Genomic DNA, 23,200 nt, shown 5'->3' with positions numbered 1-23,200 from the left:
CTTTATAATTATTTCTTTAACAGGCAGGAGTAACGTGGGTGTCCAGAGCGGCCGTGGGCAGCCAGTGTGGATGCAGAGTGGGGGTAGACAGGTACGTGGACACTCAGGGACCAAGGTCCATCAGTAGCCCCTGGGGATCAGGAGGTAGGAGCCAGAAAGCGTGTCACCTCATGGGGGGATGAGGCAACTGACACACAGGGGCTGTGGGGAGACCCCCAGGGGCAGGCTGGCTTCTGCTGCTGAGCTGGACCTGTTAGGGGCTCCACTCCTAGCACTGGAGGCTTATTGTGGAGCTTCTGATGAATCCTCAGACCGAAGAGCTCCTGGTCTCTTGAGAGTCTCATTGGTGGTAAGTGGCAGGAATCGTTTACCATCAATGATAAGAAGCCCAGCCCACACCAGCTTAAGAAGAAAGGGCAATTTGTTGCCTCACATCACTGAAAAGCCCTGGGGCAGCACCAGCACTGTCGGAGTTGGGGTCTGAAGGCTATCGGCAGGCCCCTGCGCGGGTCGCACTCTTGGGAAGGCCTCCCCTTCCAGCAGCTACAGGCATACAGACCCCTCCGTGGAAGGGGAAAAGGATTAACTGATTGTGGAGGCCTGCGTCACAAGCCTATCAGCGCGGCTGGCTCTAACAAACTGCAGTAGACTGGGGGACTTAAACAAAAACCCCTTATTTCTCACAGCAGAGGCTGGGAAGTCTGAGATCAAAGCACCAGCAGGTCTGACATCTGGTGAGGGCCCACTTCAGGTTCACAGATGGCTGCTTTCTCTCTGTCCTCACATAGCAAAGAGAGAGATGAAGCAAGCTCCCTGGTGTCTCTTCTGATAAGGGCACTAATCCCACCATAAGGGGCTCCACCCTCGTGACCTTATCACCTCCCAAGGGCCCCACCTCCTAAGCCCAAGCCACTGGGGATTAGGGTGTCAATGTATGAATTTGGGAAAGACACAAACATTTAGTCCATAGCAGACACCCAGAACAAAATACAACCATTGGCTGGCTCAAACAGCAGAGAAATTCGTTTTCCCACAATCCTGAAGGCCAGAAGAAATCAAGGAGTTCACCTAGAGATCAAGGTGCTGGCAGGGGTGGTTGTTTCTCAGGCCCCTCTTATTGGCTGGGAGATGACTGTCTTCCTCTGGGTCCTCACGTGGTCTTCCCTCTGTGAGTGTCTGTGTCCTAATCTCTTCTTCTTATAAGGACAGCAGTCATATTGGATTAGGGCCCACCTATGTGACCTTGTTTTATCTTAATTACCTCTTTAAAGACTATATCAACCAGATATGGTTACATTCTGGGGTTCTGGAGGTTAAGATTTCAACATGTGAATTTTGGAGGAAGACAATTCAGTCTGCAACAGAAGATAAAGTCCCCGGCCCTAGGGGACCGGGGGTGGGGGTATGTGGGGGGAATGGTATCAGCTGCCTTTGATCACACCCTCACTGTCGGCCAGGAAAGGTGTCAATTGCTTCTCATATGTATGGTCATGATGGGGAGAAAGGTTGGCCTCTGCCAAGTGTCGAATGGTGGCTCCCATGAAGACATGTCCACATCCGAATTCCTGGAAACCTGAGGATGTGATCTCGGTTGGAAAAAGGGCCTTACAGATGTAATCAAGTGAAAGGTCTTGAGACGAGACCATTCTGGGTTACTGGGTGGGCCTTAAACCCAAGGACGAGTGTCTCCATAAGAGAAGAGGAGACACAGACACACAGAGGAGAAGGCCATGCAACTGCAGAGGCAGAGATTGGGGCAATGCAGCCACAGGGAACACCTGAAGCCACCAGATGCCGAAGCGGCAAGGGCCAACTCTCCCGCAGCGCCTCTGGAGGGGGGCATGGCCCTGGGACCCCTCAAGCTGGAATTTCTGGCTCCATCATTGTTTTGAGTCTCCAAGTTTGTGGTGATTTATTGTGGCAGCCCCCAGAAACGAATACAGCCCCTGAAAGTTAAATCATTAAAATATTTGAACAAAGTGTGGGTGATTCAATGGAACTGAACTCTGGGATTGCCTGTCAGGTTGAAGTCAGCCAGCACTTCCATCCAGCGAGGCAGGACGGGAAGAGGATGATGAGTTAGTAGGAGGAGAAGGTTTGGTGCAGAGAGGGGCAGCAGCCTGCAGAGGTGGGTTGCAGAATCCGGAGGTTTTGTGGGAGAGTCCCCAAATGTTTTGTTCATTTTCATTTTTCATTTATCATATACTTCTAACTATTTGCAAGATGTCCTGAGCCACACGAAGGCAGGCACACATGCACTTGCTCCTTTCTCTCTCTCTCTCACACACACACACACACTCTCTCTCTCTCTCTCTCTCACACACACACACACACACTCTCTCTCTCTCTCACACACACACACACACACTCTCTCTCTCTCCCCCCCGCCCCTCTCTCTCACCCCTCTCATTCTTTCTCTCTCTCTCTTTTTTTTTAAGACAGAGTCTCGCTCTGTCACCAAGGCTGGAGTGCAGTGGCATGATCTCGGCTCACTACAAGCTCCGCCTCCCGGGTTCACGCCATTCTCCTGCCTCAGCCTCCCGAGTAGCACCACGCCCGGCTAATTTTTTGTATTTTCAGTAGAGACAGGGTTCCACCATGTTAGCCAGGATGGTCTCGATCTCCTGACCTCGTGATCCACCTGCCTCGGCCTCCCAAAGTGCTGGGATTACAGGCGTGAGCCACCACGCCCGGCCTCATTCTTTCTCTCCCTTAATCTCACTCTCACTCCTACTCACACACATTCAGTGTGACCAACTACTTATAAATTTGAACTTAAATCATTGACTTTGCTGCTAGTTAACTCGATTTAGTGCAAACCTTAGAATAAAGCTGTTTTCATCCCTGTGACAAAACTGTTAACAATTGTTACCATTGAGAGCTAATTGTCTTTGTGAATCAAAACTTCCTTAATGTTCTAAAACAAGAAAAAAATGCAAAAATAAACTGGAAACAAGGCTGATGTAAATCCACCCACCATAAACTTCAGTGTTTAATGTCACCCCTGCCATGATTTGGACTCGAATACATATCATTCTTAAAGAAACACAGCCCAGATAGTAATTCCGATGTTATTTACACCTTTCCAAAACAGCTATTTGGCCTCCAGATATTTTTGCTAAAATCTCCAAGTGTGTTCCTATTTTTTAACGCTGAAATCCGAGGGGAACCTGGTAGGTGGCATTCTCTATGGAATATACCCTGCCCCCACCCTCATTATTTTCTTTCCCTTTGAAGACAGAAAAAGAAAACTGACCTCTTTGGCTTTTGTCCTTTGACTGAGAGCAGGGGAGCATGGCAGCTGTACAACTCCTCTTGTTAATAATTTTAACCCTGCCCGTCACGGTTATACAGTTGAATACATGAGATCCATTTACACCCATAAACTACTGCTTTGGTCTATTTTATAGACTAGCAATATGTGTCATAAAAGGGAGGGGGTCACTATTAACTGTAAACTTAAAAACCCACTGGCATGGAAAGAGGAAGTCCAGGCAGTTAGTGGCTGTCTGGATTTATCCATCAGGTCCAAGGGGATGAGGCTAGATTAGGCCCTAACTTTCATGGCGTTCCCCCCTTGTCTGCAGTCTGCAGCCCCCAAAACTCCTCAACCCCTGAGATCCCCTCTGAGGCCCATCAGGTGCCATTCCAATGACTCAGCTTTCTGGAAATTCCAGCCAGAAATCCTTCTGGGGGAATCCATTCATTTAGCTCCTTGAAAAGGCACCTCTCAAAGTAAATTAACAATTTGGCAGTTCTGTTTCAACACTGAAGTCTGCTGTGAGTTTGATCACATGAGTCAGGTTCCCCAAGTCTTCCAAGAGCCATGGGACATTTGCCTGTGAAATGCCAGCCCGGGGCTTCCTGGCGAAAACCCAGATCATCACCATTCCTTGTCATCTCTCATCAGGGTGACATCGGATGATAAACAGTATAAGCGTCAGGATTAGTTTGTCAAGAGTAGGACATTTGGAGCCAGGCAATGTGGCTCATGACTATAGTCCCAGCCACTTAGGAGGCCAAGGCTGCAGGATCACTTGAGGCTAGGAGTTCAAGACCAGCCTAGGCAACATAGCTCGACCCTGTGTCCACAAAAGGAAAAAAAATTAGCTGGGCATGGAGGTGTGTGCCTGTAGTTCCAGCTACTTGGGAGGCTGAGGAGGGAAGATAGCTTGAACCCAGGAGTATAAGGCTGCATTGAGCTATGATTTGCGCCCTTGTACTCCAGCCTGGGCAGCAGAGTGAGACCCCATCTCTTTAAAAGAGTGGGGATATTTTGGTACAAGCCATCTGGCTTCAGGTAAACCCCTGCCAGGGTGTGGCCTGTGGAAGGCGGGACAGTCAGCTCACGTTCTGGAAGGCCACACCAGTGAGTGCCAACTGTGGTGACATCCGACTCATGAAGGGTTTGTGTGGTTTGGGACACCACTTAGTGGAGGATTTCTTTTTGAATCTGGACCCCTGCTAGTCTCATCCCAAGACTGGCTGTTAAGGAGGCGCTTGCCATGCCATTGCGGGGAATGTCACTAGGTTCTGGGTGACGAGGGGTGAGTCCTGTGCTTGCACATGAGGATACTCTGTTTGTCACTTGGTTCTGGGTGACGAGGGGGTGATTGCACACGAGGATACTCTGTAGGCACCAATTCTGTAAGTAAAGCTGGAGTGTAGACGGGTGACCCAAGGCTGACTGGTTTCCGGATTATGACAGGGAAAAAAAAGTGCTTAAGAAAGCTTGGGATAGCTGCACATTCTTTCCCAGCATTATGACAAGTGCAATCAACATTTGCTGCCTAAAACCTGGCTGCAGCCCTGGACCATCTGTGGGACGGGGCAGCTGCCATGTTGCCACTTGCTCATCTGACTTTGTATTGGTCGGTGGCTCCAAAATGCATCGGAAAGTGAAGTTGCCTTTCATTTGGAACTGATGCGGATGCCTACTCAGCTCCTGTTAGGGCGTGGGCTTTGAAGGGAGCTAAGAAATTCTCTAATGTTGGCAAAAAGTCCATATTCTAATTAGTGTTCAAAGTAGATAGTAGCCCTTTCCAAGCAAAAATCTCCTGTCCTGGAGGAGAAGGCCTTATCAGCCTGGATGTCTTCTCCCATTTCTAACCATTTTGGAAAGTAATGACGATGCGTGCTTTAAATTTATCAGAGGATCTTCCAAAGGTGCAAATGCAATTTGTGGGCATGGGGACTGTCACTCTGGAGTCCTCTGTGTCCCGCCTGGGAGAGTGTTCTGGGCTTTGTGGTTTGAAGGGCATGGTTCCAGCAGTGGTGCCTGTGTCACCTCCTCCCACTCCACACCCAGGGCAGACATCACCAGCCGATCACAGCATCTCTTCCCCAACCCACACCCGCTTCCCAACACCTTGCTTCGGGCAGCACTCCCAGTGACTCTTGCCTGTTTGTCTCTCTGGGCTTATTATTCAACAATTATCAAGTGCTAGGCACTGAAATGGTGCTGGGAATGCAATGGTGAGGCAAAGGAGAAAAAGCGTCGGCTCTGGTGTTGTTTATAGTCTACGAGGGGCTGATGTGGCAAGGGGACCACAGGAACAAATGTACAATTACGCCAGAGGTAGGACAGGCATGCTGCTGGGAGAACTCATTCTGGGGACATTGAGAGGAGAGACAGTTGGGTTCTGGAGGGTGGAGGGGGGAGTGTGAGTGGGAGCTCCGGAAGGGGCGCCTGGCAGCGGGGGGAGGAAGGTTGTCCAGTGTGGCTGTGGCACAGCTGGCCTACAGGTCTTTTTATTTTTTTTTTTTTTGAGACAGAGTCTTACTCTGTTGCCCAGGCTGGAGTGTAGTGGCGTGATCTTGGTTCACTGCAACCTCCACCTCCTGGGTTCAAGCAATTCTCCTGCCTCAGCCTCCCGAGTAGCTGGGGTTACAGTCATATTCCACCATGTCTGGCTAATTTTTATATTTTTAGTAGAGATGGGGTTTCGCCATGTTGGCCAGGCTGGTCTTGAACTCCTGACCTCAGGTGATCCACCCACCTTAGCCTCCCAATGTGTTGGGATTACAGGTGTGAGCCACCGCCCCTGACCAACCTATGAGTTTTGAGCGCTAAGACATCAGACCAGACAGGGCCTTGCAGGCCACACTGAGGCTCGTGGGCATCACTGAGAAGGAGCAAAGCAGCCCCTGGTGTCTAGGAGCTGGCCAGGCCCCTAGAGCTGGGCCTTGTGTTGTTAGGAGCTGTCCTGGCACTCCCAGCCCTGCCCTGCTGTCCTCACAGAGCACCAACAAGGTCCCCTGCAACCGTTGGGAAGTGCAACAAGGCCACCCTGCAGTCGTGTCTAAGCACAGACAAAAGCCAGGTCACAGTGCAAGCCAACAGCAGCAGATGCCCTCTCTGGGTTAAACTGAGTGAGGCTGCTTCCTTCCCTGCTGTGGGCTGCCCTCCCTGCAGATAAGATGTATAGGGGTGTCCCATCAGAGGCCTGTCCCCGCTCCTTGAGAGCACCCAATCTAGAGCAAAGCCTACTTCTTTGAACCCACCTCAAAGTCACCATTCTCTGTGGAGGCACCCCATGGCTGCCAGGGGTGGGGGCATCCTCCTGTTCAGCCTGCACCTGTTCAGCCACCGGTGATGTTCACAAGGAGCCCAGGGTTGGGGAAGGGGTGATGTTGCCATCTTCTCTTTTCTCTCATCCTCCTCTTGCTCAGGTCTGACCCCTAGTGAAGGGGCAGTGTGGGAGAGGAGGGGACGCAGCTGGGAGGATGCGACCTGACCACTGCCCTCCTGGTGATCCGGCATGGGTTCCCTGAGACCCAACAGGCTGCTTCCAAATGATCCTCATTTCTGGGCACTGAGCTCTCCAGGAGGTGCTCCACTTCACACTCCCTGGGGACAGTCATGCTGACTGTCCTTGACCTGGTGAACTCATTTCCTTAAGGGCTGGTGCCTCGAGCCTCCCTCTAGCTGGGTCCTCGGGCCCCCCTACAGCTGTCCAGGCTGTGTGGCCCACAGCACTCAACTTTTGGTTTGACTTTGGCAATGCGCCTAGCCTTACCTTCACTCTGCCATCCCAGTGCTGGCTGGGGATGGCCAGCTTTTATTTCCTTATTTGTCCCCTCCCATGTTCCATTTTTATCCTATCAGAATGCCCTTTTTTCAATCCTCCCTTAGATTGGCTACTTTTAGGATCCTGCTAATTGGTGTGTTTTACAGAGTGCAGATTGGTGCATTTTACAATCCTCTTGCTGGCTACAGAATGCTGATTGGTGCGTTTTACAGAGCACTGATTGGTGCATTTTACAATCCTCTTGCTAGCTACAGAGCACTGATTGGTGCGTTTTACAATCCTCCTGTAGGACAGAAAAGTTCTCCAAGTCTCTGCTCCACCCAGGAAGTCCAGTTGGCTTCACCTCTCACCAGCTGTGTGCCAGACCATCGGGCATCCTCAGGAGGGGTGGATCCGTGGTGTGTCCAGTGCTGCAGGGGAGCAATAGTGAGATTTGTGGGGGTCCTCACAGAGCCCTGTTTATGCGATTGGAGATGGGGAGGGAAGCGCTGTCTGCTCTCCTTCAATGTGGGGCAGCTAGAGCGCTTCCCTAAAATCCGCTCCTCATCCCCAACAACCCCTGAAGCTTTATTTCCCCACTGCGGGTGAGGAGGCTGGGAGGCTGCGGGGTCCCAGCCTGGAATGTGGAATCGCTTGTGGGGCTGCTTCCGAGGAAACTTCCACAGCGTGTGCCCGCACCAGGCTCTCAGAGCTTCTGGCACACAGCTGTTCGGTCCCGAGCTGGTCAGTCTCGGGTGGTCTAGGGGCAGGAGGGGGACCCCAGGACTCTCATCCTTCCTTTCCACCTGTATCCCTCAGCGGGATCCTGCTTCCCCCGGGTCTTGAAACCGGCTGGGAATGAATGAGCTTGGCCCGGCCTGCCTTCGGGTAATTAATACTCATCTCCGGAGGGGCCTGAGGACCAGAGGTTTGCATCGTCTCACTTCCCCTGGCACCGAGGGCCCCAGCCGTCATGGTGGAGGGGCGCTCCGGAGCGAGCTTTGTTCGTGGGATCTGGCCAAGCAACGAGCCATGGAGCCTGTGTCTGACAGCTTCCCTGGTGAGGTGAGGCCGTGAGGGTCACCATTGCCCTGGAGCCTGTGTCTGACAGCTTCCCTGGTGAGGTGAGGCCGTGAGGGTCACCATTGCCCTGGAGCCTGTGTCATCCCTGGTGTGAGGCCAGCGAGCCCTGACTGTCCTCCTGACAAGAGTGACCATTTAGGCCGAGGGAACAGGACCTCCCAACCCCTCGACAGTGGCTAAGCAGGCTTCCAACTCCCCCTGCCAGGCTGCCCCCTCTGCTGGCAGAGGAAGCTGTGCCAAGGCCCAGCCACGGGGCAGCCTGCAGATTCTGATGGCATCCACTTAGAAAGGGGCTTCTCCCAGCCAGGGACCCGCATGACTGGGAGGCAGAGGCCAGCTTTCTGCTGGGAAGTTCAGCCAGATCAGGCTTGAAGCCTTTCACTGAGTCCCGAGAGAGACCCTTTGCCCCCAGCCCTGAGTGTAGGATTCCTGTTCTCATGTGGATTCTCTTCCAGAGGAATCTGGAGAGAGGCCTGGAGTTGGAGCCTCCGCTGTTTGGTCCCAGGTGAGCCTCTTAGCCTCTGAGCTTCAATTTTCTTATTGACAAAATGGGCCACAGGCAACCAATGTGTGTTGAGCAGCTGCTGGATTCCCGGCACCGAAGCTGCGACTCTCTCGCCTCTGGCCTTCAATGGTCACCAGCACCATGGCTGCCACACAGGCATCGATTATGCTGGGGGCCCCGGGCTGGCCCCACGCTGACTTGTTCTCTTTATTCTACTGCAAAACCCTCAGCTCCCGGCAGCTTCAGAGATGGCTCCTTCTATTCCCGGGGCTCGGCTCTGACTACCACATGGAAGGTTCTCCATTAGACGCAGCGTGGATGGACACTAACTGGGAGGGAGGGACGCCTGGGTTTCTTTCTTGTTTTTTTTTTTTTTTGAGACGGAGTCTCGCTCTGTCGCCCAGGCTGGAGTGCGGTGGCGCGATCTCGGCTCACTGCAACCTTCGCCTCCCGGGTTCACGCCATTCTCCTGCCTCAGCCTCCCGAGTAGCTGGGACTACAGGCAGGTGCCACCACGCCCGGCTAATTTTTTGTATTTTTAGTAGAAACGGGGTTTTACCGTGTTAGCCAGGATGGTCTCATCTCCTGACCTCGTGATCCGTCCGCCTTGGCCTCCCAAATTGCTGGGATTACAGGCACGAGCCACCACGCCCAGGCAGGTTTCACTTCTGAAATTAAATTTGTGTGACTTATGAACCAACAAGAGCAAATAACTAATATCTTATTGAAAAAACCTCCTCTGGGCCAAGTGATTTATACACATTTTCCTAATGAACCTTCACAGTAGTCCTGTGAGATACTATCTTTCCCATTTCACAGGTGAGAACGTTGAGGAAACTGAGGCCTTGCCGGGGTCAGTCAGCACAGAAGAAGAGGGGGGCAGGATTTGGATCTGGGTCTCATGCCTCAGCCCGTGCTCCTGCATTCCCCTGGGCTGCCAACAGATATCATTTAGCAAGGCCCACTCATGGCCTGGGGTCTACGTGGCTGGCAGGCCACGGCGGTTACAGGGTAGAACTGTGGTTTTGCAGGGAACTGATGGAGGTTCAGCCCCATCTGCAGGAGGTGCCGGTGGAAGGCCCAGTGCTCCCCCAGTGGAGAGGCTCCTGGGATGAAGGACCCAGGGCCAGGGCATTCCGTGGAGGCTCTGAAGACCCCTCCACCTCAGCTAGCTTCTGCCTCAATCTCAGCCGGCCTGGGTGGCAGCCACGGAAACCCGGACCTGTCTGTGGCCCCTCAGCCTGGCGGCCCTGGTGATGCTGCGTTGCAAAACCACACTGTCTTGTTTTGACTTGCTCTTGGTTTCCCAGAAAATTTATTTACAGAAGTTAAGAATGCTTTATAACTTTAAATTCTTCTTTTATTATGGTAAAATATACATAACACACATTCTACCGTTTTAACCATTTTTAAGTATGCAGTTCCGTGGCAGTAATTCCCAATGAGTACATTCACAATGCTGCACAGCCATTCATTTCCAGAACTTTCTTCATCATCTCAAGCAGAAACTCTGTATCCATTAAATAATACCTCCCCATTCCCCCTCCCCGCAGCCCCTGGCTACCACCATTCCACTTTCTGACTATGAATTTGACTGCTCTAGGTACCTCACATAAGTAGGATCATGGTTTTTGTCCTCTTCCGATTGGCTTATTTCATGTAGCACAGTGTTGTCAAGGTTCATCCATGTTTCAGCATGTCAAAATTTATTTCTTTTAGAAGGCTGAATAGTACTCCATCATGTGGATAGAACACAATTTGTGTATCCATTCATCTGTTGAATGGACGTTTGGGTTGTTTCCATCTTATTTTTATTTATTTATATTTATTTATTTTTTGAGATGGAGTCTCACTCTGTCGCCCAGGCTGCAGTGCAATGGCACGATCTAGGCTCACTGCAACCTCTGCCTCCTGGGTTCAAGCAATTCTCCTGCCTCAGCTTCCTGAGTAGCTGGGACTATAGGCATGTGCCACCATGCCCGGCTAGTTTTTGTATTTTTAATAGAGACAGGGTTTCACTATGTTGGCCAGGCTGGTCTCAAACTCCTGACCTCGTGAACCGCCCGCCTCGGCTTCCCAAAATGCTGGGATTACAGGCGTGAGCCCGGCCTCCATCTTTTAATTATTGCAAACAATGCTGCTATGAACATGAGTCTCCAAATACCTGTATGAGTCCCTGCTTTCAATTGTTTAGGGTATACACCCAGAAGTGGAATTGAGAGATCAGGTGGTAATTTTATGTTTAACTTTCTGAAGAATCACCATACTGTTTTTCTCAGTGGCCGAATCATTTTACATTCTGCCAACAGCGGCAAGGATCTCAAGGGTCTCCACATCCCTGCCAACACCGATTTCCCTTTATGTTTCTTTTTTTTTTAATAATAGTCATCTTACAGCATGTGAAGTGGTATCTCATTGTAGTTTTATGCCTCTTAACTGTTTAAAAGTTTTACATCCAATGTAAAAATACTGTTTGTCCTATTCTAACTTATTCTTTTTTGTTTGTTTGTTTTAATTATTATTTTTTGAGGTGGAGTCTTGCTCTGTCACCCAGGTTGGAGTGCAATGGCTTGATCTTGGCTCACTGCAACCTCTGCCTCCTGGGTTCAAGCGATTCTCCTGGCTCAGCCTCCCGAGTAGCTGGGATTACAGGTAGGCACCACCACGCCGGCTAATTTTTGTATTCTCAGTAGAGATGGGTTTTTGCCATGTTAGCCAGGCTGGTCTCAAACTCCTGGCCTCAAGTCATCTGCCTGCCTCGGCCTCTCAAAGTGCTGGGATTACAGGTGTGAGCCACTGCGCCTGGCCTTTTTTTCATTATTTTTAATTGACACATAATTGTATGTATTTGTAGGGTATGGTGTGATATTCTGATACATTTATACGATGTGTGGTGATCGTATTCGGGTAATTAATATATCTGTCACCTCAAACACTTATCATTTCCTTGTGTTGGAAACATTTAAATTCTTCTCTTCAAGCCATTTGAAAATATATAATAAAAGAAATTGTTACCTGTAGTCATCCTACAGTACTATAGAATAGGGTCCCCAACCCCCCGGCCACAGACTGGTCCTGGTCTGTGGCCTGTTAGGAACCGGGCTGCACAGCGGAAGGTGAGAGGCAGTGGAGCGAGCGAAGCTTCATCTGTATTTACAGCTGCTCCCCATCACTCACATGACCGCCTGAGCTCCACCTCCCGTCAGATCAGCAGCGGTGTTAGATTCTCATAGGAGCACAAACCCTATCGTGAACCGCGCAGGTGAGGGATCTAGGGTGCACGCTCCTTATGAGAATCTAATGCCTGATGATCCGTCACTGTCTCCCATCACCCCCAGAAGGGACCGTCTAGTTGCAGGAAAACAAGCTCAGGGCTCCCACTGATTCTACAATATGATGAGTTGTATAAATATTTCATCACATAGTCCCATGTAATAATAATAGAAATAAGTGCACAATAATTGAAATGCGCTTGAATCATCCCAAAACTATACCTCCAACTCTGGGGGATGCGGAAAAATGGTCTTCCACAAAACCAGTGCCTGGTGCCAAAAAAGGCTGGGGAGGGCTGCTCTAGAACGCTAGAACTCATTCCTCTTAGCCAGCTGTAATTTTGTATCCATTAACCAACTTCTCCCCATCCTCCCTCTCCTCCTACCCTTCCCTGCCTCTGGTAACCACTTTCCTGTTTTCTTCTTCCATGAGACCCACTGTTTCAGCTTCCACATGTGGGCGAGACCGTGTGGTATTTGTCTTTCTGTGCCAGGCTCATCCACGACAGAATTTCATTCTTGTTTTTTCTGTTATCAAATTGCTCAGTAAGGCGACTTTCCTGTTTACCTAACCTTCCTTTGGCGGTGCATGAGAGGTGAAATTTCTGTACACCCTCACTAACATTTGATATTATTAGTCTTTCAAAATGTTCACAATCAGGTGGGCAAAAAGTGGTGCCTTTAGTAACTAGGTTTCATAGGCTTCATCTGTAGATGGGATCTTTGCTGTGGGTCTTTGCTTCATCTGTAGATGGGATCTTTGCTGTGGGTCTTTGCTTCATCAGCAGATGGGATCTTTGCTGTGGGTCTTTGCTTCATCAGCAGATGGGATCTTTGCTGTGGGTCTTTGCTTCATCAGCAGATGGGATCTTTGCTGTGGGTCTTGGCTTCATCAGTAGATGGGATCTTTGCTGTGGGTCTTTGCTTCATCTGTAGATGGGATCTTTGCTGTGGGTCTTGGCTTCATCAGTAGATGGGATCTTTGCTGTGGGTCTTGGCTTCTTCGGTAGATGGGATCTTTGCTGTGGGTCTTTGCTTCATCGGTAGATGGGATCTTTGCTGTGGGTCTTTGCTTCATCAGCAGATGGGATCTTTGCTGTGGGTCTTTGCTTCATCAGTAGATGGGATCTTTGCTGTGGGTCTTGGCTTCATCAGTAGATGGGATCTTTGCTGTGGGTCTTGGATTCATCAGTAGATGGGATCTTTGTTGTGGGTCTTTGCTTCATCGGTAGATGGGATCTTTGCTGTGGGTCTTGGCTTCATCGGTAGATGGGATCTTTGCTGTGGGTCTTTGCTTCATCGGTAGATGGGATCTTTGCTGTGGGTCTTTGCTTCATCGGCAGATGGGATCTTTGCTGTGGGTCTTTGCTTCATCAGTAGATGGGATCTTTGCTGTGGGTCTTGGCTTCATCAGTAGATGGGATCTTTGCTGTGGGTCTTGGCTTCATCAGTAGATGGGATCTTTGCTGTGGGTCTGCAGAAAATGCCCTAATCAAGTGAAGGAAACAACAGCTAAAATGTTCTCTTCTCCTACTCTGCCTCTATCTATTGAGAGGTTCGGGTCATCTAGTTTTTCCTACTCTACTAAGCTAACGTAGTGAGTCTTACTGTCAAGCAAGTCTTGCTTACCTGGGATTAAATGCTACTTGGTCATGATGGGTTATTCCTTTACTATGCTACTTGATTTGATTTGCTAATATATTAAAATATTTGCATACATGATCATTAGTGTGCTCTCTTTTCGTTTTGGAATTAACCTTATATTATCCTGCAAAATACGTTAATTCACTTTCTAGATTGTTGTATGCTCCAAAGTAGTTTACCTAACATGATAATTACCTATCTTTGAAGGTTAAGCAAAAAGTGTCCCGGGTGCTGTGGCTCACGCCTGTAATCTCAGCACTTTGGGAGGCGAAGGTGGGTGGATCATGAGGCCAGGAGTTCAAGACCAGGCCGGTCAAGATGGTGAAACCCTGTCTCTACTAAAAATACAAAACAATTAGCCAGGCTTGGCAGCAGGCGCCTGTAATCCCAGCTACTTGGGAGGCTGAGGCAGAGAATTGCTTGAACCTGGGAGGTGGAGGTTGCAGTGAGCCAAGATCATTCCACTGTACTCCAGCCTGGGCAACAGAGCAAGACTCCATCTCAAATAAATAAATAAATAAAAGTCTATAAAAACAGCTGGGCCCAGGCATTTAAAAAAATGTTCGGTCTTCTAGTTTAGTCTTTTATTGTCTATGCAAATTCTTTGGCTATTGAACTATCCAAGCTTTCTCTTTTTAAGCTTTTGGGGAATAGGTTGCAATACATTTCTTGTCTACTGTTTCTCTTAGTGTTTTCTAATTCTAACCCACTGTTTTTGGAATTTCTATTAGATGGTTTTGCAACTTCTGCATCTATCCTCCATGCACCTTCACATTTCCTTCACAGTTTTCGTGCTGTTTTCCTTGTGTGCTACATTCTGAACAGGACTTTGGCTTCAAACTCCAGAAACTTGCTCTTCAGGGGGCTCCACTTTTCTCCTTGGCTTTCTTGAGTTTTCCTTTTAACAATCATATGTTTAACAATCATATGTTAAGGTCTTTAGTTGGTTCCTTTTTTTTTTTAACAGTGGCCTGATCTTTATTTCTCCAAATACATTAATAGACTTTTTTTTTTTTTTTTGAGATAGGGTCTCACTCTCTTGCCTAGGCTGGAGTGCAGTGGTGCAATCTCAGCTCATTGCAACCTCCACCTCCCAGGTTCAAGTGATTCTCATGCCTCAGCCTTCCAAGTAGCTAGGATTACAGGTGTCCCCACTATGCCTGGCTAAATTGTGTATTTTTAGGAGAGACAGGGTTTCACCATGTTGGCCAGGCTGGCCTCGAATTCCTAGCCTCAAGTGATCTACCCACCTCGGCCTCCCAAAGTGCCGGGATTACAGGTGTGAGCCACCATGCCCGACCAACATACTTCTTTTAAAATCTCCATTTCTTTGTAATAAGAACTCACTTTCTTTAGGTGGTTTAGCTGTTGAGTTTGGTGACTCTCTCTCGCTGTGGGTTTTCCTCAGCTGTTTGTAGTGTCTTCGTTAAGCGCTCATCTTAGAGGGGGAGGTTTCCTGTTGACGCATCTGTAAGTGATGTATCTATTTACCCTCAGCAATTGCAGGTGAGAGGCAAGAATGCGTCGCCAGGTAGGCTGGGCCCGGGTGGTCTTCTGGATGCAGGCCCTTAGCACCTAACGGTCACTTGCAGCCCTGTTCTCTCGCTTGTACCTGCTCCCACTGAACTGGAAGCAGCCACCATTTCCAGAATTTGGAGCTATGGTTTCCTGATTCTCACTAATCCCAGCTGCTTCATAACTTCTGGACCACTGAAAGTATCCTGTTCTGGTTATCTGTTGCTGAGTAAGGAATCACTCTTAAAGGTAATGGCTTAAAACAACCATTTTATTCTCATTTCTCATGGCTCCTGAGGGTTGATGGGTTTGGCTGCGCAGGTCCTGTTCCGATGCCCTCCTTTTATGGGCCTGCAGCCAGACTGGTTGGGCGCTGCTTATCCGGGCATCAGATGGAACACCTGCCTGTGTCACCTCCATGTGGCTTGGGCTGTCTCATAGCATGGAGTCTGAGTGTCAATAATAAGCTCGCCCAGAGGGCCAGGCAGAAATGGAATCGGCCTTTCTGACCCAGCTAGTCACGTGGCATCACTTTTGTGTAGTCACTGGCCCACCAGGGTTCCAGGAGAGGAAGGAGAGACCCCAACTCTGGATAGGAGGAGCGTCTGAGCCCCTTGGTAGAAAAGCCATGTGGGATGAAAGGTCTTGTGGTAGCCATCTTGGAAAATGCAAGATCTGTCGCAACCACCTTTCCCCAGCACTGCCAGGAATTAACTTATTTTCTTAAACACCTTTTCTGCATTTTTTAAGAACTTAGGGGCAGGATCATGGAGCCAAAGCTTAGGCTCACCAGTCTTCTTGAGGTGATCTCACCTCATGGCTTATTTAATTTGTACTATTCCCCGCTATTCTATCTTGCAGTTTGTGCCATCTCATCCTCATGTACTCAGCTGGTGTTCCACACAGAAACCCCCTGGGGCCAGCGTGCATGATGTAGGCTTGAGGTGGAGGCTGCCCTCCTGGCCTTGTCGGACACAGCCTGGAAGCGGGGCCCAGTCACAGCGACAGTCATGGACTCCGAGGGTCCCCTGCCAGCTCTGTAGACCCTCTGCCTCCTAAGGCTCTCTGCGACTGCCGTGATCTACAGTTGGGAGTGCTCCAGGGAGTTCTCATGTGTGCTCCTCCACACGCAAGAGGCACTGCCTCTCGGGCGCCGATGTAGAATGGCTGGTGGGAATGGCTCGGTCCACTCTGAATGATCTCTCTCTTCTTAAAACCTGAGCATGGGTGCCCATGGCCTGCCCTCGGCCTGTCCAGTAGGCAGGGTGGGCACAGCACAGCAGTGCCTGGCTGCCCTGTCTCCCTCCTCTCACTGAGTCCTCCTGCAGGTGCACACTAGTGAGCTGCCCCACCGTCCTTCAGACTGGAGGTGCCTGAGAGAAGGGGCAGGCACAGGGGGATTGGAGGCCGTGCTAGTCAGGCTGGGTGAAGCAGCGGGGCTTGAGGAGGGCACCGCAGCCCTGTGAAGCTGAATCAGGACCTGGGAGCCACCTAGGCCTGGACCCCACAATGGAGACTGGGGAGTTAGGAGATGGCTGTGGTCCCTGCTCATCTCACTGGATGCCCAAGTGAGATGCTTAGGAGTTAAATGGACAGAGCCTCCAGCTGGGGCCAATGCTGAGAAGGCCTCTCCGGAGGGGGAATTTGCTTTCTTTTGCAACAAGGGAAGCTTGAATTCTGCCGTAAGGATCTCCATTCCTCACCAAGAAGTCTGGAGTCATGCCACACACAGCTGGATCAGCGCTGCCTTTTGGTCTGATGTGACAGTGGTTAAACTTGTGTGACAATGAGAAATCATGACAAACGACTTCCTTAATGTCAAAGTTTCCTAACTTTTCAGGGAAGAGAAAATAGGGCAACTGCATCATATTGCGGACAGTGAACTCGGATCTTTTAACTTCATTCCTACACCAAAGTTGCTGATTGAGGGAAATGGACAGGAATCGGCCTGACCCTTGGGTCTTGGGTATAGACAGGACAGGGCTGTCTGCCGAGAAGTGAGGCAGGAGCCGAGCAGGGATGTTTTGGAATCGGCGAGGGTGTCTGAACACCATCAGCTCTGCCTGCATCTGCTCCTCAGGCTGTCTGCAAGTAGCACCGTGTCCTGGAGCAGCATGTTAAAAAGCTGAGTTGGTTCAGGCTTTTGAAAAATCAAAACAAGACAAACGTCCACCCCCGTGATGAACAACAACTTTTTCCCAGGCTTGCAAGCGCTGCGGCCGGGTTGCCCTGGCAACGACACATTTTGGATCGGCCGCTTCCCTGGGCCTTCCTTTCCCATGTGCACAATGGGGATGGGAGAAGGTCAAGGTCATTTCCGGCTGCACATTCTGGGAGGCAAACCCATACCTCGGAGGCCTCTCTCCTGCCCTTTAGTCCCTGGCTGGCATCTCAGCAGGGAGAATAAAGGCGTCTGTGTTGTGGCTTCCTGGAGCCTCTTCCTTGGAAACAGATAGTCTGATAGGCAATGATGGCAGCTGCTGACTGCTTATGGCCTGGCTGCTGCTGGCCATGTGGGCCTCTGGAGCGGGGGGCCTTGTCAAGGCTCCCCAGACCCACTTCCACAGCCACAGGACCTGCCTGCAGTCTCTTTCCCTTTTCCTGGAAACTTCTGTCCCTTTGTCTACTCCCGATGAGTCAGAGTAGCCGATGGAGAGGAGTGCAGAGCCCAGGCCAGAAACAAGTGGCAAAGGCAAGGTGTGTCTCCTCTCTAAGGTCGCTAGGCCACAGCAGCAGTGGTTTTCGTTTGGGCCTGACAAGGAGCCGGTGCTGTAGTCACCCATGACTCTGGAGGCCCTGTTCATCCATCAGGCCTGGAAACACCAGCAGGACTGGCCAATCCGCCCCAGAGCTCAGCCAGCACGGACAGTCAGTCTTGGCCAGCAGCACCTTCCTCAGGCCTGAGAAGAAGAGGCCAGGTCTGCCTTGCACAAGCTGCAAACTTTGGTTCCCTGCACACCAGGCAGAGGGGGCTGCCCTGCCAGAGGCAGCTCCCACATCCCCTGAGCCTGAGTCATTACCTGCTAAAGAGGGGACAGCTCTTCAAAAGACCTGTGGCCTCCTGGGTCCCGGCAGCATCCGTGAAAGTGAAAAGAGCAGAATGTTGGTTGGCACAGTTTTCTGAATCTCTCCCTGGGCCATCTGTTCCAGTTACTGCTGTTTTCTAACAAAGCACCCCAAAACTTAGCGGCTTACCACAGCCATCTTCCCATACTCCTGGTTCTGCAGGTCTGGAAGTTGCACAGAGCACAGGAGGGCTGACTTGCTTCCATCCTGTAAAGTCTGAGGCCTCCACTGCAAAGACTCCACAGCTGAGAGGGACCCAACAGCTGGAACCATCTGAAGATGTCATCTCTCATGTTTCCCCCACATGATGCTGGCTGTTGGTGCGACCTCAGCCCAGGCTGTTGGCCACAACAGCCTCTGCATGTGGCTTGGGCTTCCTCAGAGCATGGCGGCCTCATCACAGTCAGACTTCTTGACTACAGGCTCAGGGCTCCAGAGGTGAGTGTCTGCTTCATTGCCTTTCCTACTGAGCTTTGGCAGTTATGCTGCATCATTTCCACCATATTCTATTTGTAACAAGCAAGTCACAAGCTCCCCCCAAATACAAGGGGAAGGGACACAGACTCCACTTGTTGATGGGAGGGGTGACAGGATGGGAGGTACTGTTGTGGCCGTCTTTGGAGAACATAATCGGACACGCCACTCTCCTGGCCTTCCTTCCCACTCTGCCCCAGCCACGATCCAGCTGCACAGACAGCCTTAATCAGGCCCTTCCAGTACCTTCTTCTCTTCCTAACAGCTGCTGGACAGGTCCTCCACAGGCCCAATAGTGAGCTGGGCCACCAAGGCATGGGGGAGGCCCCTCCATTTCTGCCTTTTTCACCATGGCTGGGGAAAGGGGCAAGCTCAGGGTTAACTGGAGTCCACAGGGTCATTCAGTTTGATGGAGTGCCCCAGGCTGTCCTGGGGCCTGGCCTGCCTCCCTCGCTGTCTGTGCCTGTTCATGTGGCTTTTGGTTTTGTGTTTCTTGGCTTGTGAGTTGTGGTTCCGGAATGAGGGGAGCCAGGCAGAGCCTCACCCTGGAACCAAGCAGTGGGGGGTCCTGAGAGCCCCCCCGGGAGCCCAGAGCTTCCTCTGTGGATGGTCTCCCCTCTGTGGCTCCAGTTTAGGGGACTTGGGACAGAACCTTTTGCCATCCCCTGCCCTATTTGTATTAGGGGCAGGCTGTTCTTGGTGGAATACAGTTTCTGTGTGGCTGACACAAGTGTGAACTGCTGACTTGCCTTTTGTGGCTGAGTTCTGAGGAGTTTTGCTGAGAACAGCGCAAGGGTTAGTAGGTCCCAGCTGTGAGAGCTGAGGGACTGCTGTAGTTGTAGAAGCTGCTTTTGTCAAGAGACTCTCTCAGGAAAAATGTTCTCTGGATTTCCAGACCCTTTTCTACTCTTTCCCCTATTCCCAATGTACCCCTGGCCCGCAGACCCCCCAAATTCCCTAGTGTGGACACAGAGCCCTACTCTGCCACCAGGCCTGCACCTGGCCGCGGGTCCAGATGCCAGAGACATTAAAGCATGTGTGCGTGCACACACACACAAACACACACCTACACACACATGCACACACATGAACACACACAAACACACGAACACAACACACATACACATACACACACATATGCACACACAAACACGAACACACACACACATACATATGCGTGCACATAGAGAACAGAGTATTCATGAGCCTGTAGTACATGCAAAAAAGCCAAGTTACGTTTTTAAAACTTTTCTATTGCACCAGAAATACAAGATGCCGCCTAGAACGTTGGGAGAAGAAGGTCCGCCCCGCAGCCGGCCCCCAGGCGGGCCCGCTTGTTTGGGCCTCTGCCTGCCCGCCGGGGGTGTCTGTATTTACATTCGTCCACACCCGCCACAAGGGTTCCTTTTTCCCCACGTGGCATCGTACTTGGGAATACTTGGTAAAGCAAACTCATCAAGCCCACAAACTCTTCTCAGAGGGCGCAGGAGCCCCGGGGCAGCCATTTCTCGGCGGGCTGGTGCCCCGTCGCGGCGGGAGGACGGCGTCCGGCTGCTCGGAGCGGGGCGCACCCTGGCGGCGGGCGAGGGAACTGCTCCTGCCCGCGGGTTGCATGGGGGCAGGTGCCCTCAGGAATAGGCTGGAGAGGTTGGCACGGCTCTCTGCTCTCCCGGGCTTCAGTGAGGGAGAGGAGCTGTTACATTTTGGCAAACAGCAGACCTTTCTTTCCCAAGCCCCCGGCTTCTAGCCACCATGGTTGACCGAGTTCTTTCTCTGCTGTAGGAGAAACAGGGCCCAGCCCCCGGCTTTGCCCAAGGGTCCCCCTGGCCCTCCTTCCCCGTCACTGCCTGGGAGTTAGTGATGACTGGGGAGGATTGGTTTTTGGGAGAGGGGCTGCAATGAGGAGTGTCACATTTTCTGAAGCGACAAGGAAGCCTCTGCACCCAGACCCTCACGTTCGTTCCCCCATCCAGTGTCCACCTGCCTGTCTCCCTCTAGCAAGTAAGTCCTCCCAGCCCAGCCCCTGACTTTGATGCAATCCCTCCCTGAGAACTGAGAGGGGCAAGTGCCCTGCCTTGAGCGATGGGAGTTCCTCTGTAGGGCCTTGTCACTTGGGGGATGGCAGGCCCCTCGCTGCTGGTTCCTGTTCCTGTCCCTGTGCTGGGGACAGCTGTGTGCAGCTGAAGAGAATTTTCAGGCCAAGCCTGAGGTTCAGGGTCTACTCCCTGACTGGAACAGAAGTAGACAGCACAAAAGACGTTACACTGGCCCTGAGCATGCCAAGGTCAGGAGGGTGGGGTTGGTGGGGGACCATGGATAGTCCCCAAGAACATTGACAGGAAAGACCTGGAGGCCCTTATGCACCTGAACTGTACTTCAGGAGCCAGGGTGGGGGCTGCAGCATCTTCCCTGATGCGTGCTCTCCGCAGTGGGGATCTGTCTATGCATACACCCTTACAACTTGCTGTTCCAGGCTGTCATCCCTGATTATTTTCCATCTCTGTCATTGAGGAAACAAGAATCTAAGAGGCATAGGATCTTGCCCTGGGTCTGGCAGCTGGCAATTGGCAGAGGGAGGATTCGAACCTGGGCCTGTATTTCCAAATCCCACCCTCAACACCACATTGAGGAACAGCCCCTTGAGGCTGAGCTCTGGCAATTCCTTTAGTCCTCAGTGTGGCCTCGAGGGAGAGGTTTGGAGCGAAGCCCTGGGCCTTTAGCTTTTGGGGTTTCCAGGACCCAGCAGAGGCCCAATTCCTGGCTGCCCCTGCTTGTACTCAGGGGTCTTGGGGTCTTTGGTCTTGAGGCCCCCATGGCCTCCATTGTGATGGAACCTAGTAGTTTGTGGCACACAGCCATTGGTTCTTCATCAACCAAGGAGGCAGGGCATGGAGGAGCCGCAGGTCCCAGGAGAGAGGAGGTGGCTGTGGGTCACCCAGCCAGGAGGTGCTGGAGGGAGTGCGAGCCCCATTTTCTGACCCTGACCCCAGCTGCCCCGCTTCATATTGCACTACCCAGTGTGTCTCTGTTCTCTTAGGTCCGACCTCTGAACGTAAGAGTGAATGAAAGGGAAACCAATAACGGGAAACTCAAAGGACAGGGGCCTCTGGGGTGGGCAGACCAGTAGCTGGAAGGGGTCCAGCCCTGATTCCTGAGATCGCCTCAGCCTTGTGCAGGCCCCACTGATGGGCAGGCTGGGCTCCAGCCATTGTCTGCTCCACGGCTCCATTGCGGAGCAGAAACCTTGCACCGAGGGCAAAAACACCTAGTGTGCCTTAGATCCAGTTTAAACCTTTTTGATAAAGAAAGTCCAGATAAAGAGTTCATTCACTTCCCCTTCTCCAGCTGCACTTGATCTGAGGCTTTGGTGACCCGATGCCGCTATTTCAGAGGGAGAAATGTTTTCTAGTTCCTTCCACCTCATTGTCAGCTGAAGCTCCCCCCAGCCCCCACCCTCTTCCTCCCCTCCTTCTCCTCTGTCTCCAGACCAGGGGAGAAGTTGTGCTGCTTGAGGGCAGGGTTGACGGGGATGCCTTGGCTGGACTTGGAGATGGAGGATTGAGTCTCGGTGGGAGAGATGTCGCCTGGCACGCAGCACATCCCAGAGGCCACTTTGGAGGAAGGGAAGAGGTCAGCTCCTGGTGCTCATGTGGTGGAAGCCACAACCACCTCGCAGAGCCTTCTCGGGTCTGCGTAGTGACGGGTGTGTGCTTGGAGGGCCAGGCAGGCTCTCCAGAGTGTGCAGAAAAGTGCCTCCTGGAGATTCTGCACACGCCCAGCCCGCCACACTCACATGAGTGAGACCGGGACTGGGCAGCTCCTAGATGACACCAACGACGGGACAAGCCAGAGCCTGGGAGGAAATGAATGCAGGATCCAAAACGGCGGCTGCCGTCCGAGTCGGCAGAACGAGGTTTCTGAGCGGGCTCCGGGCTGAGCGGCGGCAGATCCTCGCTCCCCGGGCCTCAGCGCTGTCGCGCATGCGGTTGAACGGCGGAGCCGCGGCCGCGCAGGCGCCGGAGGCCGTGGGAGGTGACATAGCTGCAGGGGGAGCTGGGGAAGAGCCGCGCAGGCGCCGGAGGAGGCCGGGGTAGGTGACGTAGCTGCAGGGGGAGCTGGGGAAGAGCCGCGCAGGCGCCGGAGGAGGCCGTGGGAGGTGACGTAGCTGCAGGGGGAGCTGGGGAAGAGCCGCGCAGGCGCCGGAGGAGGCCGTGGGAGGTGACGTAGCTGCAGGGGGAGCTGGGGAAGAGCCGCGCAGGCGCCGGAGGAGGCCGTGGGAGGTGACGTAGCTGCAGGGGGAGCTGGGGAAGAGCCGCGCAGGCGCCGGAGGAGGCCGTGGGAGGTGACGTAGCTGCAGGGGGAGCTGGGGAAGAGCCGCGCAGGCGCCGGAGAGTCTTGCGGAGCATCCCCCTGTGCTGAGTCCCGGATTCATTCCTTGGTTTTACAGACGAGGAAGCTGAGGATCTGAGAGCTGTACAGTAGTGGCTGAGGTGGGGTTTGCAGTGAAGGATGTGACACACCCCAGATGGAGCTGAATGGGCGTGGGACCTCAGGTCTTGGCCACAGTGGCCTGCTGTGCATTGATCCTGCTACAGAGTGTCCATTATCAGCCAGGCGCGGTGGCTCACGCC

The 23,200-nt window shown here is 52.0% G+C and overlaps 1 long non-coding RNA gene across 5 annotated transcripts in view, besides 3 other annotated features; it reads left to right on the top strand.

Moving 5' to 3' along the window:
* LRRK1-AS1 (LRRK1 antisense RNA 1) overlaps nt 1–23,200 on the top strand; it is a 109,606-nt gene that overhangs the window by 42,741 nt on the left and 43,665 nt on the right. For 3 of the 5 annotated variants that reach the window (XR_001751726.2, XR_001751725.2, XR_001751721.2), the window contains exon 1: nt 17,484–18,533. The exons of 1 other annotated variant lie outside the window; for it this stretch is intronic. This is a non-coding gene — a long non-coding RNA (LRRK1 antisense RNA 1). Of the gene's footprint in view, nt 1–14,706; nt 15,279–15,890; nt 18,534–23,200 lie in introns of those variants that run through there. One more of the 5 variants, XR_001751723.2, reaches the window with a different exon arrangement.
* Nucleotides 5,855–6,641: an enhancer, noted in NCBI's record as "H3K4me1 hESC enhancer chr15:101642663-101643449 (GRCh37/hg19 assembly coordinates)". NCBI's record gives its function as "activates a minimal SCP1, AML or CMV promoter by ChIP-STARR-seq in primed H9 embryonic stem cells {active_cell/tissue: H9 hESC(primed)}" and the evidence as "EXISTENCE:reporter gene assay evidence [ECO:0000049][PMID:30033119]".
* Nucleotides 6,642–7,429: an enhancer, noted in NCBI's record as "H3K4me1 hESC enhancer chr15:101641875-101642662 (GRCh37/hg19 assembly coordinates)". NCBI's record gives its function as "activates a minimal SCP1, AML or CMV promoter by ChIP-STARR-seq in naive H9 embryonic stem cells {active_cell/tissue: H9 hESC(naive)}" and the evidence as "EXISTENCE:reporter gene assay evidence [ECO:0000049][PMID:30033119]".
* Nucleotides 19,987–20,226: a silencer, noted in NCBI's record as "silent region_6883". NCBI's record gives its function as "represses an Ori minimal core promoter by ATAC-STARR-seq in GM12878 lymphoblastoid cells {active_cell/tissue: GM12878}" and the evidence as "EXISTENCE:reporter gene assay evidence [ECO:0000049][PMID:35858748]".

This window comes from Homo sapiens, chromosome 15 (genome assembly GCF_000001405.40).
Source record: "Homo sapiens chromosome 15, GRCh38.p14 Primary Assembly".
Lineage (NCBI taxonomy): Eukaryota > Metazoa > Chordata > Mammalia > Primates > Hominidae > Homo > Homo sapiens.
This window is presented reverse-complemented; position numbering and strand designations above follow the sequence as displayed.